This window comes from Homo sapiens, chromosome 12 (genome assembly GCF_000001405.40).
Source record: "Homo sapiens chromosome 12, GRCh38.p14 Primary Assembly".
NCBI classification, from domain to species: Eukaryota; Metazoa; Chordata; class Mammalia; order Primates; family Hominidae; genus Homo; species Homo sapiens.
The window spans coordinates 91,385,766-91,405,747 of NC_000012.12; the positions used below are offsets into that span (position 1 = coordinate 91,385,766).

At 37.8% G+C, this 19,982-nt stretch overlaps 1 long non-coding RNA gene across 1 annotated transcript in view, besides 1 other annotated feature; it reads right to left on the bottom strand.

Moving 5' to 3' along the window:
- The window catches only part of LOC105369896 (uncharacterized), a 361,170-nt gene that overhangs the window by 109,541 nt on the left and 231,647 nt on the right, over positions 1–19,982 (bottom strand). Inside the window, exons 3-4 of the long non-coding RNA XR_001749251.2 lie at positions 13,344–13,614; positions 11,949–13,072 (exon numbers count right to left, since the gene is read on the bottom strand). This is a non-coding gene — a long non-coding RNA (uncharacterized LOC105369896). The remainder of the gene's footprint in view (positions 1–11,948; positions 13,073–13,343; positions 13,615–19,982) is intronic.
- Positions 2,787–3,081: a silencer, noted in NCBI's record as "tiled region #7828; HepG2 Repressive non-DNase unmatched - State 24:Quies". NCBI's record gives its function as "represses a minimal TATA promoter and a strong SV40 promoter by Sharpr-MPRA in HepG2 cells {active_cell/tissue: HepG2}" and the evidence as "EXISTENCE:reporter gene assay evidence [ECO:0000049][PMID:27701403]".

Consider the following 19,982-nt stretch of genomic DNA (forward strand, 5'->3'; position numbering starts at 1 on the left):
ATTGTTATATACATTGCAAGAAACATTACTTCAAGTTTGCTAATGTATTTGTTCTCTCAACAAACAATTACAGAATGCCTGTGATAAAAGAGCAAATGTGTGGGATAGGTACTGCCATTCCCAGTTTCCTACTCCCATAGCCGACATCGCTAATTGATCATGGAACTCTTTCCCTCTCAGAACAGGCTACACATCAGAATCCTTCTCCACAAGTCTTCTTGGCACCCACACCATTAAACAGAACTTATACTTGAGTTGAGCTCAAGTTTCTGTCCATCCCCAGCCCTGCCCTTCTGTCAGGTCCTGTACTAAATGGTAGAAGTACTGAAAAGCAATCAAATTATGATTGCTTTTGAGAGGCCTCTGGTCTACTGGAGGAGACAGACAAGCACATGCTTCATTGCAGGGATAGGACTAGGGGATGCTTGTGCACCAGGTGCCAGTATCATCGTTGTCTGCTGATGATGGACCTATATGCAAAACACTAGAAGGATTTTAGGTGAGCCTTTGTGCAGTCTAATGAAAGCTTGACAGATAAAAGATACTTACGTTGGAATTTGAAGAGCAGTTAAGGATCAGATCAAGAAGTAAGAGAGTCCAAAACAGAAGAAACAGCATACGCACAACCATTGTGAAATAAAGTGAGAGTAAAATCAGGTGGGGCATGGGAGTGGTGGCAGTGGGGGAGGCATGCTGGTGCAGAAAGGCTTGATTTTAGGGATTAATGTGAAATACAAATTAGAGGTATGTCCACATTGAAAGCAAATCAGTAGGAGTAAGACATTCACCAGTTATTTGCCTACGTGTAAAATTGTTTTGATGAAGTATTTTTTTAAAATTAATTAAGCTGTAAAGAATTCATTACATCAACCCCTCCCCTCCCCTCATTTGGCTTAATGTAGCTACAGATGCAGGTTCCAATATTTCTTGTGCAGTCTTTTACTTATTTCTCCTCAAACTCCTTTCTTAAATTAAGGGCAAACAGCCTTGTCTTCCCTGATACATCGGTCAGGTTTTTAGGTTTATTTGTTCTTTTATGTTTCTTATACTACAGCCATACTACATTTAGCTCCCATGTCTGCATCTAAAATCTAAAATGTATACTTGCTGTCTACAAAACCAAAAATGCTGTGGTATTTTAGTACGTGGAAGACTCAGTTCATGATTTTTAATGCCCAAATATTATTGAAAATGCAGCTTGTACGTTTTTCTACCCACAAGCTCTCCAGATCCATCTTTAGAGTATTTTATCAAGTTCCAGTCTCTGGAGTCATTCTGTAGTCTTGCCTGCCTTTTTCCATAAAATTTACTTAGCTCTGTGGACTGGTCCTCTCCTAGTTTTAATCCCTATTTGTCCCAGTATATATTTATCTAGATTGTACAGCTAGCTTTGGGTTCTATGCTACCTATTCCTCTAGTCTACCACTAGAATTATCCAGAATTATCTTCTATTGCACCTCAAGAAGCTCCCATCATCTCCATTGTCCCAAGTCCCATCCCAAGTACTATGGAATTTCCTCTCTTACCTCAAAATTGTGTTCTCTTTAGAAATGTCATTAGTTTTGTAGATCATAAATATCCTGAAATCATTGAGTGTATACCTCTAGGGTGACTATTCATTATTCTGGACTTATAATTTTAACCTAATTATAGAGGCAAAATATTTCTGAATCTATCTATACATGTTATATAGTTGTAGATCTAGAGGTAGCTTTTCTCAAGATAAAAAGTAAAAATAAATCTCAATTCTTTTTTTCAGGCAAAGGTTTCTCTTTTCCAGTTACAATTCTCTGATGACTATAACTGATATTTAAACCTCAGAATATTTTGGGTTCAGTTCAGATAAGCATCTACGACTTTGAATGTTATTTCAACATTTTGAGTACATAAATTAAAAATGTATGAACAAATAGCTCACATCAGATTTTTGCTCTGAGATATAATCATTTCCAGCAACAAAGTATGTGAATGACAAAAGCAGTATCAATTTTATCTGACCTACATGCTTATGAACAGGTTCTTTTCCAAGAGTTTATTTGTAGGTCATTTAGAAGTCCAAATCAGCTTTGCTCATTGAAACAGTGCTAAGCTGTGGTGAGGTGCTGAGGCCAGCCTGTCAGAGCCTGGCATGGAGTGCTAAGACTCCTGAAGGGCTTTTGTAGTAGACCCTGAGTTGGGGAACAGTGATAATGATACTTGACATTGATAATTATTCAGCTCTGTATGCTTTCCATGTGTTAACTCATTTAACCACAACCATATGAGACAGGCACTACTTTCATACGGAGTTAATGAGGACAAAGAGGTTGAATAGCTTATACACAGCACTCAACTTGCAGAAGTTGAATTTGAATCCAGATATTCTGGCTCCAGGGCTAGTGTTCTCAACCACCACTTCTGGAAAGGGGATGGGGAGGATGGGGAAAAGAAACTGCTCAGAACAAATGTGGGTGTGAGGGGAGATGACAACTGGAAGAAGGGATTGAGAAGAATCAGCTGTGAAGGAGGAGATGCTGATCATTAGCAGGGTGGAATTTTGCCTCCATTCCTTCCTCTTAACTTTCAAAATCTTCTTTATTATCTTTCATTATCATGTCCTCATTTAGTCTTCCATTTCTTTTCTTTCTTATACCACAGCAGATTCTACTACTGAAGGTGTATTGAGTAACAGGGAATATGGAATTGGAGATGAACTGGGTTAGGGTAACAATTGTCCTGGTTTGCCCCTGCCTTAAGGGGTTACTGGGAACACCAGATATCCAGTTTTAAGACCAGGAAAGTTTCTGGCAAATGAGAACTAGGTTGGTCACCTTAGTATGTGTATGACAGAACTGTTGTCACAAGACCCTGTACAAACACAAGGAGGAAGGGAAACGGGAACCAAAAAGAATTCCTCAGGAGCAGTGACCATGGGAAATTTGTGAGAGCTGAACTTCAAGCAGCTGGGATGGATTTTGAGCTTCAAACTCCCAAGTGCATTGAGAACATTAAGCAAAAGTTTCTGCTTGATCATTTCTCCCCAGTTCTTAAGTAGTATTTAGACAGATTAAATTTGGCCCCAAACTAGGTCATGAGGTTTTACAAGAGTGTGGAGGACAGTGGGAAGCTGCTTTTATCTGATGAAAGCAACTGGAAAAACAACACTGTTAAAAGTTTACTTGTCCCTACAGGAAAGAAATGTCTTATTCAAATTACCCAGGGCCACTTCATGTTCCTTCCTTGTTTAGTGATTGAAGGAAAAAATAACATTGCTATCAACTTAAATTTCATATACAGATAATAAATAGTTTTTGAAATAACTATTAAACATACTGAGAAACAGGCTGAAATACTCTCTAAAATTCTATGCTGTCTACTGTGTTCAGATTTACTCTATTTCTACAGTTATTAGTTATCAACTGAGTTACTGTCCTTATCTTCTTAAAACTATAATTTGTTGGGTTTATTTTTTAGTATTTAAAATATTACTAAATGATTTAAACAATTGTTTACCATTGTTGATTTTAAATGAGTATTTTCTATCATAAAAATACATTTTGAAGAGATTTACAATGAAAACATTTTCCAAAGTAGCAAAAATATAGCCTTTGACATGAATTAACTGCTTTTCCAAGCACCCTTATGAGACATATTTTTAAATTGTTTTTAGAGGTATTCTAAGTACATAAAGTTTCTGGAACACTCTTAATGAAACGTTTTTGAAGTTGAAAATATAATGGCAAACGAAGGCAGCCTGTCTAGATAAAACTATAAAAAATAGTCAAGTAACCTTTCCACCATGTATAATCAAGACACCTTATACCTTATTATATACCTGATATAATCTATTATATTTAAAATAAAATGCTTCAATTCTTCTAGAAAAAAAAATTTGAAATGCCCATTAATTCATGAGTTTATCATTAAAATTCTATATTACTATGTGAGGCAAAGCCAGATTTTCTACTGATTTCTTTTGGCACCAAAAAAGAAATAGAAAGAATAAGATAATAAATCCATAGGATCCTCAACTTAAATCATGGTTAATTTATTAGTCAAATCTTGGTGCAATGACAAACAACTCTAAGTTATCAGTGGTTTATGACATCTTAGTCTGTGCAGGCTGCTGCAACAGAATGCCATAGACTGTGTGGCCTACAACAACAGAAACTTTATTTCTCACAGTTCTGGAGGCTGGGAAGTTCAAGATCATGGCATTGGCAGATATTGATGTCTACAGCCTTCTTACTCTACCCTCACGTGGCAAAAGGGTTGAGGTGTCTCTCTTGGGTCTCTTTTAAATGCACACTAATCCTATTTAAGAAGGCCCTGACCCCTTGACCTAATCACTTCTCAAAGTCCACACTTCCGAATACCATCACCTTGGGGGTGAAGATTTAAATTTTTGGGGGGACATCAACATTCCACCCTGTAGCATAACACATTTAGTTTTTGCTTATATTATATGAGAATGTGAACTGGCTTCATCTCTGCTACGCTCAACAGGACTCAGCTTGATGGTATTCTTCGTGTCTTACCATTCTGGGATCTAGACTGAAGAAGCACCCACTCTCTGGAACATGCTATTTTCATGGTGGAAAACAAAAACTCAAGCATGGACAGAGCCTAATGCAAATACTTGATGCTATATGTCACATCATCCCAGCCCACTTCATTTTTTAAATTAAATCTAAAATTTGTTATGGGTACATAGTAGGTGTGTATATTTGTGGGGTACATGAGATATTTTAGTACAGGCATATAATGCATAATAATCACATCAGGGTAAATGGGGTATCTATCACTTTAAGCCTTTATCATTTCTTTCTGTTACAAATATTCCCATTATATTCTCTCTGTTATTTTTAAATGTGCAATAAATTTTTGTTGACTGTAATCATCCTGTTGTGCTGTCAAATACTAGGTTTTATTCACTCAATCTAACTATATTTTTGTACCCGTTAACCATACCCACTCCCCCCACTCACCATTCATAGCCTCTGGTAACCACCATTCTACTCTCTATCTCCATTAGTTAATTGTTTAAATTTTTAGCTCCCATAAATGAGTGAGAACATGTGAAGTTTGTCTTTCTGTGTCTGGCTTTTTTCGCTTAACATAATGTCCTCCAGTTCCATCTATGTTATTACAAATGAAATGATCTCATTCTTTTTTATAGCTGAGTATTCTGGTTAGTAATTCCTTGTCAGGTGAATAGTTTGCAAATATTTTCTCCCATTCTTTGAATTTTTTATTCGCTTTGTTGATTATTTCCTTTGCTGCACCGAAGCTTTTAACTTGATGTGATCCCATTTTTGTTTTGGTTGCCTTTGTTTGTGGGGTATTACTCAAGAAATCTTTGCGCAGTCCAATGTCCTGGAGTGTTTCCCCAATGTTTTATTTTAGTAGTTTCATAGTTTCAGGTATTTGATTTAAGTCTTTAATCCATTTTGACTCAATTTTTGTATATGGTGAGAGGGGTCAGAGGTCAATTTTCATTCTTCTGCATATGGATATTCAGTTTTCCCAGCACTATTTATTGAAGAGACTGTCCTTTCCTCAATGTATGTTCTTGGCTCCTTTGTTGAAAATGAATTCACTATAGATGTATGGATTTATTTTGGGGTTCTCTATTCTGTTTCATTGGTCTATGTGTCTGTTTTATGCCAGTACTATGCTGTTTACTGTAGCTCTATAGTATGATTTGAAGTCCGGTAATTTGATTCCTCCAGTTTTGTTCATTTTGCTCAGAATGGCTTTAGCTCTTCTGGGTGTTTTCTGGGTCCATATAAATTTTAGGATTTTTTTTTCCTATTTCTGCAAAGAATGTCACTGATTTTTTTGATAGGGATTGCATTAAATCTATAGATTGCTTTGGGTAGTTTGGACATTGTAGCAATATAAATTGTCCCAATCCATAAACATGAAATATCTTGAGGACTTGTGCATCCTCTTAAATTTCTTTCATTAACATTTTATAGTTTTTATTGCATAGATCTTTCACTTCTTTGGTTAAATTTATTCCTAGGTATTTTATTTTATTTGTAACTATTTTAAATGGGATTACTTTCTTGATTTCTCTTTCAGATTGTTCACTGTTGGCATATAGAAATTCCACTAATTTTTGTATGTTGATTTTGTATCCAGCAAGTTTACTAAATTTATCAGTTCTAATAGTTTTGGCAGAGTCTTTAGATTTTTTTCAAATATAAGATCATGTAATCTGTAAACAAGGATAATTTGACTTCTTCCTTTTCAATTTGGATGCCCTTTCTTTCTTTCTCTTCTCTGACTGCTTCAGCTACGACTGCCAGTTCTATGTTTAGTAACAGTGGCAAAAGTGGGCATCCCCACCTTGTTCCAGAACTTAGAAGAAAGATTTTCAGTTTTTCCACATTCAATATGACACTAGCTGTAGGTCTGTTAAATATGGCTTTTAATGTGTTGAGGTATGTTTCTTCCATAAGCAATTTTTTGAGGATTTTAATCACAAAGGGATGTTGAATTTTATCAAATGCCTTTTAAACATCAACTGAAATAATCATGTGATTTTTGTCCTTCATTCTGTTGATATGATGTATCACACTGATAAGTTCACGTATGTTGAACCATCCTTGCCTCCCTGGGATAAATCCCACTTGGTCAAAATGAATGTTCTGTTTGATGTGTTATTGAATTTGGTTTGCCAGTATTTTGCTGAGGATTTTTGCATCAGTGTTAATCAGGGATATTGATTGGCCTGTAGTCTTCTTTTTTTGATGTTTCTTTGTCTGATTGTGGTATTGGCGTAATAGTGGCCTCACAGAATAAGTTTGGAAGTATTCCCTTCTCTCCTATTCTTTCTAATATTTTGAGTAGGATTAGTCTTAGTTGTTCTTTAAATGTTTGGTAAAATATAGCAGTGAAACCATCTGGTTTCAGCCCAGCTCACTTCTGACTTTTAGTAGTTTGAGTCTGCTGCCAGTATCTCAACTGCAACACTGGCCAGGCTGTTCTCAGTCTTTCTGCCCCAGGGCTTTCTCCATGGCCTTCATAGTCTATTCAGCCTGCATGTAGTGATTGCAGAGCATTGCTTCCAAGCTGGTGCTGCAGCTTCAGACTTCAGTTGGTCATTCCAAAGCTCTATCAGACTATCAGTGTCTAAATGATGTGGCATAAAATATAACCAGTGTATCCTGTCTTCATGTCCCAACCTGTACTTCTCTACTGTGAAGTAAACTATCTTTTATTATTTTGTGCAGAGTTTTGAGTCTGTTAGTGGTGCTGGATGAGGATCTGCAGCCAAGAAAGGCAAACCCACCTAGAATGGGTGTCTATTCCTGGAATAACAAACCACTGGCCCTTTCTATACAGAAAGGGCTCAATCAAGTCAATGTTCAGCCAAGTGGGAAGTTGATCTTCTCAAGGAATAATGGCACATAAGGGCTCAGTTTTGGTCTCTACTGTGGATGGATTAGTCATTTAGAAGTGGAAGTAGTTAGTGGCCTTGATAAGTAAAAATTCATGCTGTTGGGCCCAAGCTTGGACTCGACGTTGGCCACTATGGCTACTCTGTTGATAATTGATAATTGACCCAGGATTCCATATTATTCATTTTAGTTGAACCCCTGTGCCCCAGAACAAGTTCAATGGGCACATCAACAGAGTAGCCACAGTGGCCAACATGGAGTCCAACATGGGGCCAGTGGTAAAGATTGGCTAATATCAATTGGCTGAGACCTTTAAACACATGATTGATGAGTGCCTCTTCTGTGATGAATGGTTCAACATCTTTCCACAGATGATCTCCTTTTACCTGATCTTCCAATAATTTCCTATTCAGGATCCTCCCTGATCAGCTGACCAGGCTATTGGCCCCTTTCCATGAATCCATCTGCAGCCTTACCCCAGGCCACTTCTTGGTTTTAACAAAATAATGACCAAGTGCACTGATTTGCTTTGGATCTCTGTCCCCACCCAAATCACATGTTTAATTGTAGTCTCCGATATTGGAGGTGGGGCCTGGTGGGAGGTGATTAGATCATGGGGATGCATCCTTCATGAAAGGTTTAGCATCATCCCTTTGGTGCTGTTCTCCTTATAGAGTTCTCATGAGATTTGGTTGTTTAAAAGTCTTCACCACCTCCTTTTTCTCTCTCAGTCCTGCTTCTGCCATGTAAGATGCATGACCCTGCTTTGCTTTCCACCATGAGTAAAAGTTTCCTGAGACCTCCCTAGAAGCTGAGCAGATGCTGCTATGCTTCCTGTACAGCCTGCAGAATTGTGAGCCAATTAAACCACTTTTCTTTATAAATTATTCAGTCTCAGATGTTTCTTTATAGCATTATGAGAATGAACTAATACATGCACCATTTAAAGTTCTTCATATTGAGAAAATTTCACTTCACCATTTTCTTTTAAATTCATTTCTGATTATGACTATAATGTAGTCACCATCTATTTTCTGCTTATATCCATATTCCAAGCTCACACATCCACAAACAAGTTCATGTTTTTTCCTCTGCTTCCGTTGGTCTTATGGAACCCCTAAACATAATCTCAGGTGGATGCTGATGGAGGGAAACTGGTTCAACTGGAATGAATAACATGAAAGCCTGGATTTCTTGTTCATGAAGCCTACTCACACTCTCTGACCCTATTTAGATAGATCCCAGATGTATCATTTCAATTTTATGATGGACTGTTGCTGGGCTACCTGAACTGGAAATTTCAAGGTACATGGTCACTTGTTTGATTTGATGGTGAAATATTCCATGTCTACCAATGCCCAGGAGCATGAGAGGAGCTGTTCCTTGAAAGAATTGTAATTTTCCACTGATAGGGTTTGGCTCTGTGTCCCTATCCAACTCTCACCTGGAACTGTAATCCCCACGTGGACAATGAAGTCCAGGCTGAGGTGGTCTCAGATGGACATGAGGAACTTCTAGGGACTTCGAGCAAAGGTCACTCTTGCTATGCTTTAGCAAAGAGACTGGCAGCATTTGGCCCCTGAACTAGAGATCTGTGGAAATTTGAACTGGAGAGAGATGATCTGAAATTGGAACATACATTTAAAAGAGAAGCAGAGCCTAAAAATTTGGAAAATTTGCAGCCTGATGATGCGACAGAAAAGAAAAACCCATTTTCTGGGGAGAAATTCAAGCGCATTGCAGAGATTTGCATAAGTAACAAGGAGCCAAATACTTATTACCAAGACAATGGGGGAAATGTCTCCAGGACATGTCAGTGATCTTGGTGGCAGCCCTTCCCATCACAGGCCCAGAGGCCAGGAGGGAAAAATGGTTTCCTGAGCTGGGCCCATGGCCGTGCTGCTGTGTGCAGCCTTGGGACTTTGTGCCCTGTGTCCCAGCTGCTCCAGCTCCAGCTGTGGCTAAAAGAGGTCAAGGTACAGCTTGGGCTGTTGCTTCAGAAGGTGCAAGTCCAAAGCCTTGGCAGCTTCCATTTAGTGTAGTGCCTGCAGGTGCTCAGAATTTGAGAATTGAGGTTTGGGAACCTCCTCTTAGATTTCAAAGGAGGTATGGAAATGCCTGGATGCCCATGCAGAAGTCTGCTGTAGGGGGTTGGGCCCTCATGGAGAACCTCTGCTAGGGCAGTGCAGAAAAGAAATGTGGGGTTGGAGCCCCACACAGAGTCCCCACTGGTGCACTGCCTAGTGAAGCTGTGAGAAGAGGCCACCATCCTCCAGGCCCCAGAATTGTCGATCCACTGACAGCTTGCACTAGGCACCTGGAAAAACAACAATCAACGCCACCCATGAAAGCAGCTGGGAGTGGGGCTGTACCCTGCAAAGCCACAGGGGTGGAATTGCCCAAGGCCCTGGGAGCCTACCTCTTGCATCAGTGTGATCTGGATGTGAGACATGGAGTCAAAGGAGATCATTTCAGAGCTTTAAGATTTAATGACTGCCCTGCTGGATTTCAGACCTGCATGGGGCTGGTAGCCCCTTTATTTTGTCCAATTTATCTCATTTGGAATGGGAGCATTTATGCAATTCCTATACTCCCATTATATCTAGAAAGTAATTAACTAGCTTTTGATTTTACAGGATCATAGTCAGAAAGGACTTGCCTTTGCCTCAGATGAGACTTTGGACTGTGGATTTTTGAGTTAATGATGAAATGAGTTAAGTCTTTACGCTACTGTTGGGAAGGAATGATTGGTTTTGAAATGTGAAAAGACATGAGATTTGACAGGGGCCAAGGGTGGAATTATATGGTTTGGCTCTGCATCCCCACCCAAATGTCATCTCGAATTGTAATCCCCACGTGTCGAGGAAAGGAAGTGATTGGATCATGGGGATGGTTTTCTCCATGTTGTTCTCATGATAGTCAGTGAGTTCTCACGAGGTCTACTGGTTCTGCAAGTGTTTAGGCCTTCCTTCTTCATTCTTCTCTCTCTTGCCACCTTGTGATGAAGGTGCTTGCTTCCTCTTCTGCCATAATTGTTAAGTTTCCTGAGGCATCCCCAGCTATGTGGAACTGTGAGTCAATTAAACCTCTTTCCTTTATAAATTACCCAGTCTTGGATATTTATTTATAGTAGTATAGAAATGGACTAATACATCTACTGTAGGAGGAATGATCTTGTTCCAGAACTTAATAAATGAATGTTGTAATTTTCCCACTAACTCTTGGTATGTACTCTAGATTTTACCCACAATCAACTCTTCCAAGAGCACAAAGTCTGCTGGATTATATGACCCAAGCAGCAGGGATGTTTGCAATGTAACCTGGATCTGCTAAACAGCCTTTATCTGCTCACATTCTGTTCAAAACTGATAGCCTTTTGTGTTACACAGCATATGGGCCAAAGACTATTCTTAGGTATGGAATAGCTTGCATACAGAGCTTGAAGAGCTACAAAGTTTTGTGCTTCTTACTTTGTGGTAGGGATGCAAGCTAAATCAATTTATCTTTTACTTTTTAAAGGGGATGACCCTATTTACTGGGGGACATGGGATACCTAAAATCTTAACAGAAATGGCAGGTCTCTTATTTTTCAAAGGTTTTATCTCACTCTGAGCCCATGTCTACCAAGGCTTTGAGCTTACTACCTATTTCTTCCTGGATCAGTTTGAGTGCAATGGAGCAAGGCTATGTTCTGAGGGATGTCCTCATAGTTTTGATCTCTTTGGAGTATGACAGACGGCAGGAGACTTAACATAGCTAAGAGACAAAAATGTAAATTTATAGTTGAAGATTCCATGTGAATGAAAACTTTAAAAAAATATTTTTTGCTGATGGCATAGAAAAGAATAAAACTCTCTAGATATGAAACACTCTTCAGTGCCCTCCACTCATGCCACCCATATATGGTCATTGCAACCTCCTAATTTCCAGCAGGTAAGCACTGCCATCTATGCTCAATGTCTTCAGGTCTCTATCATCTCCATTGCTATTAACAAGTTAAGCTATGTGACAATCTCTCCTACTGTCAGCCTTTCAGAAAAGAGCCATGACAGAAAATATTAGTGTATCTGGTATCTGTCTCACCAGCACTTTCCTTATACCTTTTGTGGACTATGCATCCACTGGGCTTTCATGGAGTATATTCCTCTGCTGGGTTTCCTGGCATCACAAATTGTATACTCACCCTCCTGAGCCTTTTACTCCTCCTTCTTTTACTCCTTTTATGCCTCTGCTACCTTCTCTAGTAGTTCAGACATTTCAACTCACCAAGTCTTTCTCCAGGTTTCTGAGGCCTACTCTAGCATCCAATCTTTCCCATGCTCTATGGTCTTTGTCAGGGCATTAAATCCCGTCTTTCAAGAGAAGTCCCCCAAGTTTAAAAAGAAAAAAAATAAACAGAAAACTTTAGCATTTCTACTCATAAGTGCTAGCCCTGGTGAGCAAGTACTCTGTTTTAGTCTATTTTGTGCTGTTATAACAGAATAACTGAGACTGGGTAATTTACAGGAAACATATTTCATACATTTTTGGAGGCTAGGAAGTTCAAGATCGAGGGCTTACCTCTGGTGATGGTCTTCTTCCTGTGTCATCCCATGGAGAAGGCAGAAGGGCAAGAGAGCACATGCAAAACAGAGGGAAGGAAGTAAAATTCATCTTTTTATCAGAAACTCATTCCTGCAATAATGGTACTAATGCATTAATGAGGACAGAGTCTTGTTAACAAGACTACTGAAAAAGAAGTATCAGATTTAAAGAGGCTTTATTTCCACAAGCGGTTTGTGAACGGGGGATACACAGCCTTCAATACAAAACAAAGATGTGTTCTACCAGAACAAAGACAGGGGTTGTCCTTTATAGAAAAAGTTCCTGCTGAGGTTCCCACTATGCTATGCTGTGCAAATGAGGGATGCAAGCTTGCTTAGTTTCAGCTGGTTGAGGTTAAGTTTCACTGTGGGTCACAGGCTATTGGTTAGATCAAAGTGATGGTAACCATTGGCTCAGGAGTATAAACAGAAATAGGCAGATATGAGAATCTCACAGTTATACCAATATGTGGTTTTTCCAAGAATGAAGAGTGCATGTGTAATGTCTGGTCAGCAAATGGAACTCAGCTCCCGTTTGAATTTAGGCCCAGTTAGCCACTCAGGTTCCATCTTAAAGGATTGGCTCTTTCAGGGTTCACAGCCCTCATGATCTAACTACTTTTTAAAGTTCTCACCTCTCAACACTGTTGCACTGGGACTTAAGTTTCCAACATATGAATTTTGAAGGATACATTCAAACCACGGCATACTCAAACATCCAATCTCATGGATACTATTCTGAATCCTGAAAGCACATACTAGCTAATTATTGAACTTAATGAAATGATTATCTCTTTTCTTACTTATCAGTCCCAGTATGTTTTTATCCCTCAGCTGGGTTATGCTGGAATTTAGCCATGATTTTTAGCCTAGAAGCCTAGAGAAAAAGTGGGAGTAATTCCTGATAAACATACCATTTATCTTATGTGAAAGTGGCCTCTGAAGTATCTTCTTGCATGAGAAAATGTCTAGCTCTTCATAGAGAATGGTGGGTCAATTCTTTAGGCTCTCAAGTTGTAGATCCTTGGGGAAATTTACCCAGATGTCCTCTTCCAATATTTTAATGCCTCAAGTTTTCCCAAGCAGATCTCTGACCTTAGCCTAAGAAAATTCCTCTATGAGCATCCAATCATCTTTGCAGCTCAGTGGCCCTAAACAGCAGATCCTGAATTTCCTCTCCAGCTATGGCCACTCTCTCTCTTTGCAAAAGATAAAAACACTTTATAGGCTGCCCAAGATGCCTTCTGGCTTTTACACTTACATTTGGGCTTTTGTTAACAATGCTCAATTTTTCATCATCCCACAAATGCAACGTATTCAATTTTCATTGTCCCACAAATGCAACTTAGTAATAATTAGTCAATTTCATTACCTTTCTATGTTTCTCACGCTGGATTTTTCAAATGCATGAATATTGTCCTGGTTAGGACATTCACCTGCAACATGACATTCTCCAAAGTCACCATTGATGAAATTTTTACCAATTGAACTACTGTCTTGTGCCAAAAAATATTCATATCCCACATCCACTTGAAAGGAATCCTTATTTTCTGGTTGGTGGCAAATGATCCACTTGCATAACTCCAACTTAATCACTGATATCACAGATTGTGTCCAGTATCAATTAATGTCACTTGGTTTTTCTAGAAAGGGAAAGCCAAGATTGAGTTAGAAGTGCAAAAAAAAAATTATTGGAGAATAATACCTTTTAAACATGTAAAGGCAAAGAAGGCAGGAACATCCAAAGGAAGCTTTCACACTGTAGTAAAGGCCTGGCTCCTATGAAAGGTGAGAAGGAAGCCAGAAGATTGGATAGGATGAGCCTCACACAGCACTGCAGCTCTGACAAAATCCCAGCCAACATGATGGGGATCTCCTTTAGGAGGACTGCTCTTTGAGGAGTCCTGTGCCTGAAAATTGAGGTTCTGTTGTACCCCTGCCATACTCATTGGCTGAAAAATGTCTGGGTATCATAAGGTCTTGGTTCAAATTTGAGGCATACTTGCACCTGGAGGCTGTTATCTAATTTGTCTTCCTTTTGACAGGTTTTCTCTTGAAGGTAGATCTGAGCCAAATACCTCCATGACTGCCCTAAAGACGTCTGACTGATAAGAGTCATGGCAATAATTTGTTCAAACAGCTAAACCTTTCAGCAAAATACAAAATAACTCCAAAAGTATGAAATTAAAGAAACCATCAATACCCATTTTGTAATAAACTTCTCACAATTTTTTGCTTTTCTCACTCTTCCTCTATTATTATCTTTTTATCCTTTATCTTATTATCTTCCAGTTTTATCTTATTTTGACAAAAAAGTTTCTTGCATCTTTATATTTTCTTGAAATAAAGCTTGTCATTATATTTCTTTTCTTTTCATAGCTGTGATATTGTTTTTATGTAAAATCTATGTTTCTATTTATTTTTTCTAATGAGAAAAACCTAATTGCCAGTATTAAGAAAGGTTTCTAACACATACACAAACACACACGCATGTACACATTTAACTTTTGCAAACACATGCACAACTTCTAACTTCTGCAAATGAATTATGAGGAATAAAATACATATACTCTTTGATGTCTTACGTCAAGAAGCTCACATTCAGCTAATCATAGTGCAGAATTAGGTTCCCTTTTCTCACCCTGGCTCCCTTCTATCTCCTGCTATCACAAAAATAACATTACGCTTGTGGAAGATAAAGACAGCATCCTCTTTCCAGTTTCCTTTTACTTCCTGCTAAGAGAGATTAGTTTATCAGGATGTGAGGATGTTGATCTTCACGAAAGCTACTCTGTTGCCTAATAAGGTAAAGTTTTCTCATCCATATTACTAGCTGGCTTCCTGCTTCTCCATAATAATAAATAATTTTGTGCGGCATGAAAAAAATGTTTTTTCAATTGTTACTAGAGCAAGCATTCCAATCAGTAAGTACAGTACATGACAAGGAGAATATCTCATCAAAATTCCTACCTATACATTTTATCTTAAGTATAAATCTAAAGTAATCTCATCATAACATTTGAAAACACATTGAATCAAAATTTCTTAAAGATTTTCAAGAAGGGAATCTCAAGTATGTGTTTTTTCTTTTCAAATGCACATTCAAAAAATACTTCTGGATGTATAATGTTATTTTAGGGGCCTGACTTGCTTTCTAACAAAATGATGGTTTTACCATTTGGTCTCAAATCATGAAATAAATTTACTTATATAATCATATATTTGTTTAGGTCTTTAGTATTATATGCCAAACACTGAGCTAAATACTCTAACACTTACATATCAGAAATATTAACTGGATCTATGACTCTAAATATGTAGAAGATGACACTCATTTTCTGAGAGAGAAAAAAATAAAAGCTGCAGATGCTCTAGAATAAAAATGAACAATTAATTTTGTAGTAAGCAGGTAGCTATCATATGTGGTGGTTATGAAAAATACAAAATGTGGAAGATATAGCCCCATTCCACTTTATTTTATGAGTTTGACTTTGCACCTTTGCTTTCCATATCTCATATTGAACAATTTAATGGGTACAGCCAGCCACTCCTCTTGTTTTTCACCCTGCCCCAAAACTGGCTCTTCTAAAATAGAACTAGTCTGACTAATACACTTTAGTTGGAAATGTGTGCAATTATATTGGTTTTCCTAATTTGACTGTGGCCTTGGAACACTGTGTGACAAAAGACTATTCACAGGGAACACACCCTCCCTTTGAAATATGAAATATACTTCCTCCATTAAAGAAGTAAGATGCTCAATAAAGTCAGTAGAATTTCACCAGACTCTTTTTCCCTTATACATATTATTCTTTGGCCAATTTTGCATGCAATCAAAGCTAGAGAAGACCCAAGTCTTAGGCCAAACTGTGAATGGGGATAGCAAGGAAAAAGTAAAATAATAACATCTATTTGGAATGTTAGCCCCTTGAAAACAAGGGAATTTCACATATGGTGAGGGGTAGAGGGAAGAGGTTAAGGCAAAGGACTTTGGATTCATATTGAGTGTGGGGCTTTGTACAGTTTACTTAACTCTTGTAAGTTTCAATTTTCTAACCTGTTTAAAGTATCAAAAATAGCTTCTTTATGAGGTTGTTATAAAGATCGAAATGAATTTTGTAAGCACTGACGTTGCTTTGCACATAGTAAGTGCTCAGTAAATTATTAATTTTTGCAGTATAATATTTTGCTCCAGAATATTACATTTATTACTACAAAAGTATTTGGCTGAAAGATAACTTTTGTTTTTAATGCTGTATCAAAATGTATCAAACTCCAGAAACCTTGTTCCAAGTGGATTACAGCAGTAATCACTGGCTACAAATATGTTAAAGGAAATAAATGTTTGAATCCTGGGGTCCATTGAGTAATTTAAATAAAATAATAATTAATATTAATATCAATCAAATAAAATGGATGTATATCCAAATTATTGTATAGAGTGAAAGGAGATGAGAAGAAAATTCCTGAAGCCATGGAAACATCTGAATATCTCTTTATCTCATGATTTTTCTATCCAAAGAGATATACAAGAAGTTTTAACAATTTGAAACACACAGTACACAGGCTTTGTTTAAAATATTTTGGCATACAAGCCTGCTAAAAGACAATTAAAGGGTTTGTGGGTGAATTAGTCTGCTCACCCTAAAGAGGTACTTCTGACTTGTTCCCGAGGTTACTAAAGACCTGGATCTTCTCTTTGGCCAGGAGAGAAACTTTGGAAGAGACTTGGGCCTTATTAATCTAGGACAATATTCTTTTCTCTGGAAACATGGATGATTCCTCAATGTATATGAATCATTTGTGGTTTTCAGGATGTGGCCTGATGTTAAGACTAGCTTCTGTGAGTTTAAGTTCTAGCCACCCAACCTGATTTTAAGTAAGAAAGATACTAAAAATAAAAGCCTTATATTCATGATCTCAAATGCTGACTGCAAATTGTAAACTTGTGAAATCACAGACCATTGTCTTGTCTTGTCACAATTGTATCCCCCATCTTCTAATGCCAAACATAGAAAAGGCTTTGTATGAATACATAAACTGTTTGCCCCTTTCCTCTGTTGGCGCTAAATGCCTAATCAAGGTATTAAGACTTCGACTCATGTGGATGCCATCTGGCTTTTCTGCTTTTTCTCATGGAGTTCTCAGTTCACTCCAGAACTTATTTTTCTCTGGACCTGACCCCTGGCTCTTGGAACCTCCCCTTTAATCCCTGAGATGCATGATATTTCTAAAAGAAATCAGATGGGTCCAATGGTTAATCAGACCATCTTTTACTTGGGATAAGAGTGCAACATAAAAATTCCTTGGTTCCCCCTCAACTGGTTATTCAAGAAGCACTCAACTTCATCCTATCTCCTCTACCCCCACCATGGGAATGACCGCTGCAGTTTTACAACTAAGAAACATTGTAAACCAACTCCAAAACCAAGTAGATAAAATTTCTATCTTCCCAAAGCAAATATTAAATCATTCTCTATGCTTAGCTAAACCAAATAATTCCTGACTTTGTTATTTGCTACTACAAACATAAAACCTATGAATAAAATCAGCAGAAGAGGATCGCAGGGAGGATATATTAATAGTTATATTTAATTTGACAGAAGCCCACAGTTTGATGAATTCTGGACCAAAGGTTAGAGCGAAGTCTAAATTTAGATTGCAAAGTTAGATGATCCTAACTCGGCAAGAATTAACTTATAGCTCTTATTTTCTAAATTTGTTGATTTTTAAATTATTATCATCATTATTATTTTCCTCTTCTGTTTATTTGCTTACTATACATCTTCTTTGGAGAAACATTCATTTAAATCTTTGGTCCGCTTTGTTTTGTTTCAAATTGTGCTGTTTGCTTCCTAATAATTGAATTTTGAAAGCTTTTTCTATAGTCTGGATACACGTCTTTGATGTGCAAGTATTTTTTTCCCAGCCTATGGCTTTTCTTTTCATTCTCCTAGAGAAGACAGGATCCTGGACCTGAGTGATATTGGTATTCTTCCACTTAGGAGAGTCTCCTCTGTGACTTTTATAAGACAAAAGTTATTCGGTCATTTTTGTAATGCTGATAAAGTCCAATTTATAACTTTTAAAATTAATTATGCATTTGGCACTATATATACAAAAATTCTTAAGAATATTTAATAGGTTTAGATTTTATACTTAGGCTTATGATCCATTTTCTCTTAATTTTTGTATAAGTTGCAAGCTATAAACAATCTTCTTTTTTTTCCATATGGATTGCCAATTGTTCCAGCATCATTTGTGTGAAAAGATTATACTTTCTCCACTTAATTGCTTTTAGATTTTGGTCAAAAATTAATTGAGCATGTATGCTTGGGTCTATTTCTAGCTCTGTTATATTAACCTGTATGTTTACCTGTATGCAAACCCCATGCTGTCTTGATGAAAGTCCATTTATGATATGTCTTGAAGTCAGAGAGTATAAATCCTTTGAGCTTATTACTCTCTTGCAAAGTTTTTATTAACTATTTTTATCTTTATCATTTCCATATAAATTTTAGAAGTATCCTATCAGAGTAATACAGGCCTCATAGAATGTGTAAGGAAATATTTTTTTTCTTCTTCAAATGTCTTGAAGATTTTGTACAGAATTAGCATTTATCATTTCTTCCATAAACGTTTAGTAAATTCATAAATGAAGCCATTTGGGCTTTCACTTATTAACTTTGAATTTCAAGGGTGCTTGATCAAGGAGGACAAGAATTCATTGACTTGAGGGCACTCTCTGCAGACAAGGGATTTAAAACCCTGTCAAGAACAGCCGAGAAAGAGGCAAACTTACTGCTATGGTGACCATAGAAACCATGGAGAGTGATGATTAATACTGAGCAAGTGGAATCGCTTGATTTGCCCTGCCAGAGAGGAGAGGAAGGAATAAAGAGGCTGATGAAAGCGGGCCTGCCAGAATGGATGTGTAAGGCCAGAAGACACAGCAGAGGATAATATTTCACAGGAGGGCCGGAGAACACCATGTACCAAGGTCATCAGGAATACACCTGTGTTTGTGGCACTAGCATCACTAATGAGTTTAGTAATAGGTTTAATCTGTAGACCAGAGCTGGGCTTGCTAATATCCTGGAGATGATAGGACTGCAAAAAGAACAAATAATAAATAAATAAATAGCCAGGTGGCAGCATTTAACTACCAGAAGCCAAGGAACCACAATTACCATTTAGACCCCACCAAGACCAGAGGGGCAGTAAAGGGGCTGTGACCTCCAGGGAGTTTATGGAGATAATTAAAGCATGGCATTCACAAGGGAAGAAAAGACAGACAGCCAAATAGACCTCTGATTAATGTTTACAACCAGAAACTGTCAAGAATTGGGGAGTAGGAGGTTGAGAACAATCTCCCAGATAAAAAGTCATTATTCCTTGCTTAGTTGTTAAACTGATTTTCTGATCTGGAACCCACTAATTGAAGGCATAGCTAGATCTCCAGCATGAAGGACCCCTAAACACAGCAGGAAGCAAATAATGTAGTGATTTCCTCAGTCCTTTCCCAAATAGACTTTTAGTTACTTATTCAAGTGACTGTACACTGGGAAAAGATATTACAAGGAGTGTTAGACCCATGATCTGAATTGACATTGATAGTCAGGGGTCCAAAGCAGCCTCATGGTCCTTCTGTTAGATCAGAAGCATATAGAAGACAGGGAATCATTGGAGTTCTGAATAAAGTCCACATCACAGCGGGACTACTGGGTCATCATTTCCCAAGACCCTAAGCATATGATTGGCATTCATACAATGGGCATTTAGGGTAACCCCCACAGGGAATTCTTGGCTGGTAGGGTAAGAATCATCATAGTGGAAACGGCCAATTAGAAATCCTTGAAATTGACTCCACATGTCCAAGATAACAAATTAAAAACTATATTACATTGAATCATTTGGGAAGAACAGCAAAGAGAAGTGCCATCAATGGGAAAGGAGTGGTGATCATTGTGATATTTCTGCTTAATTGACCAGCCTGGCCCCAGCAGAAACA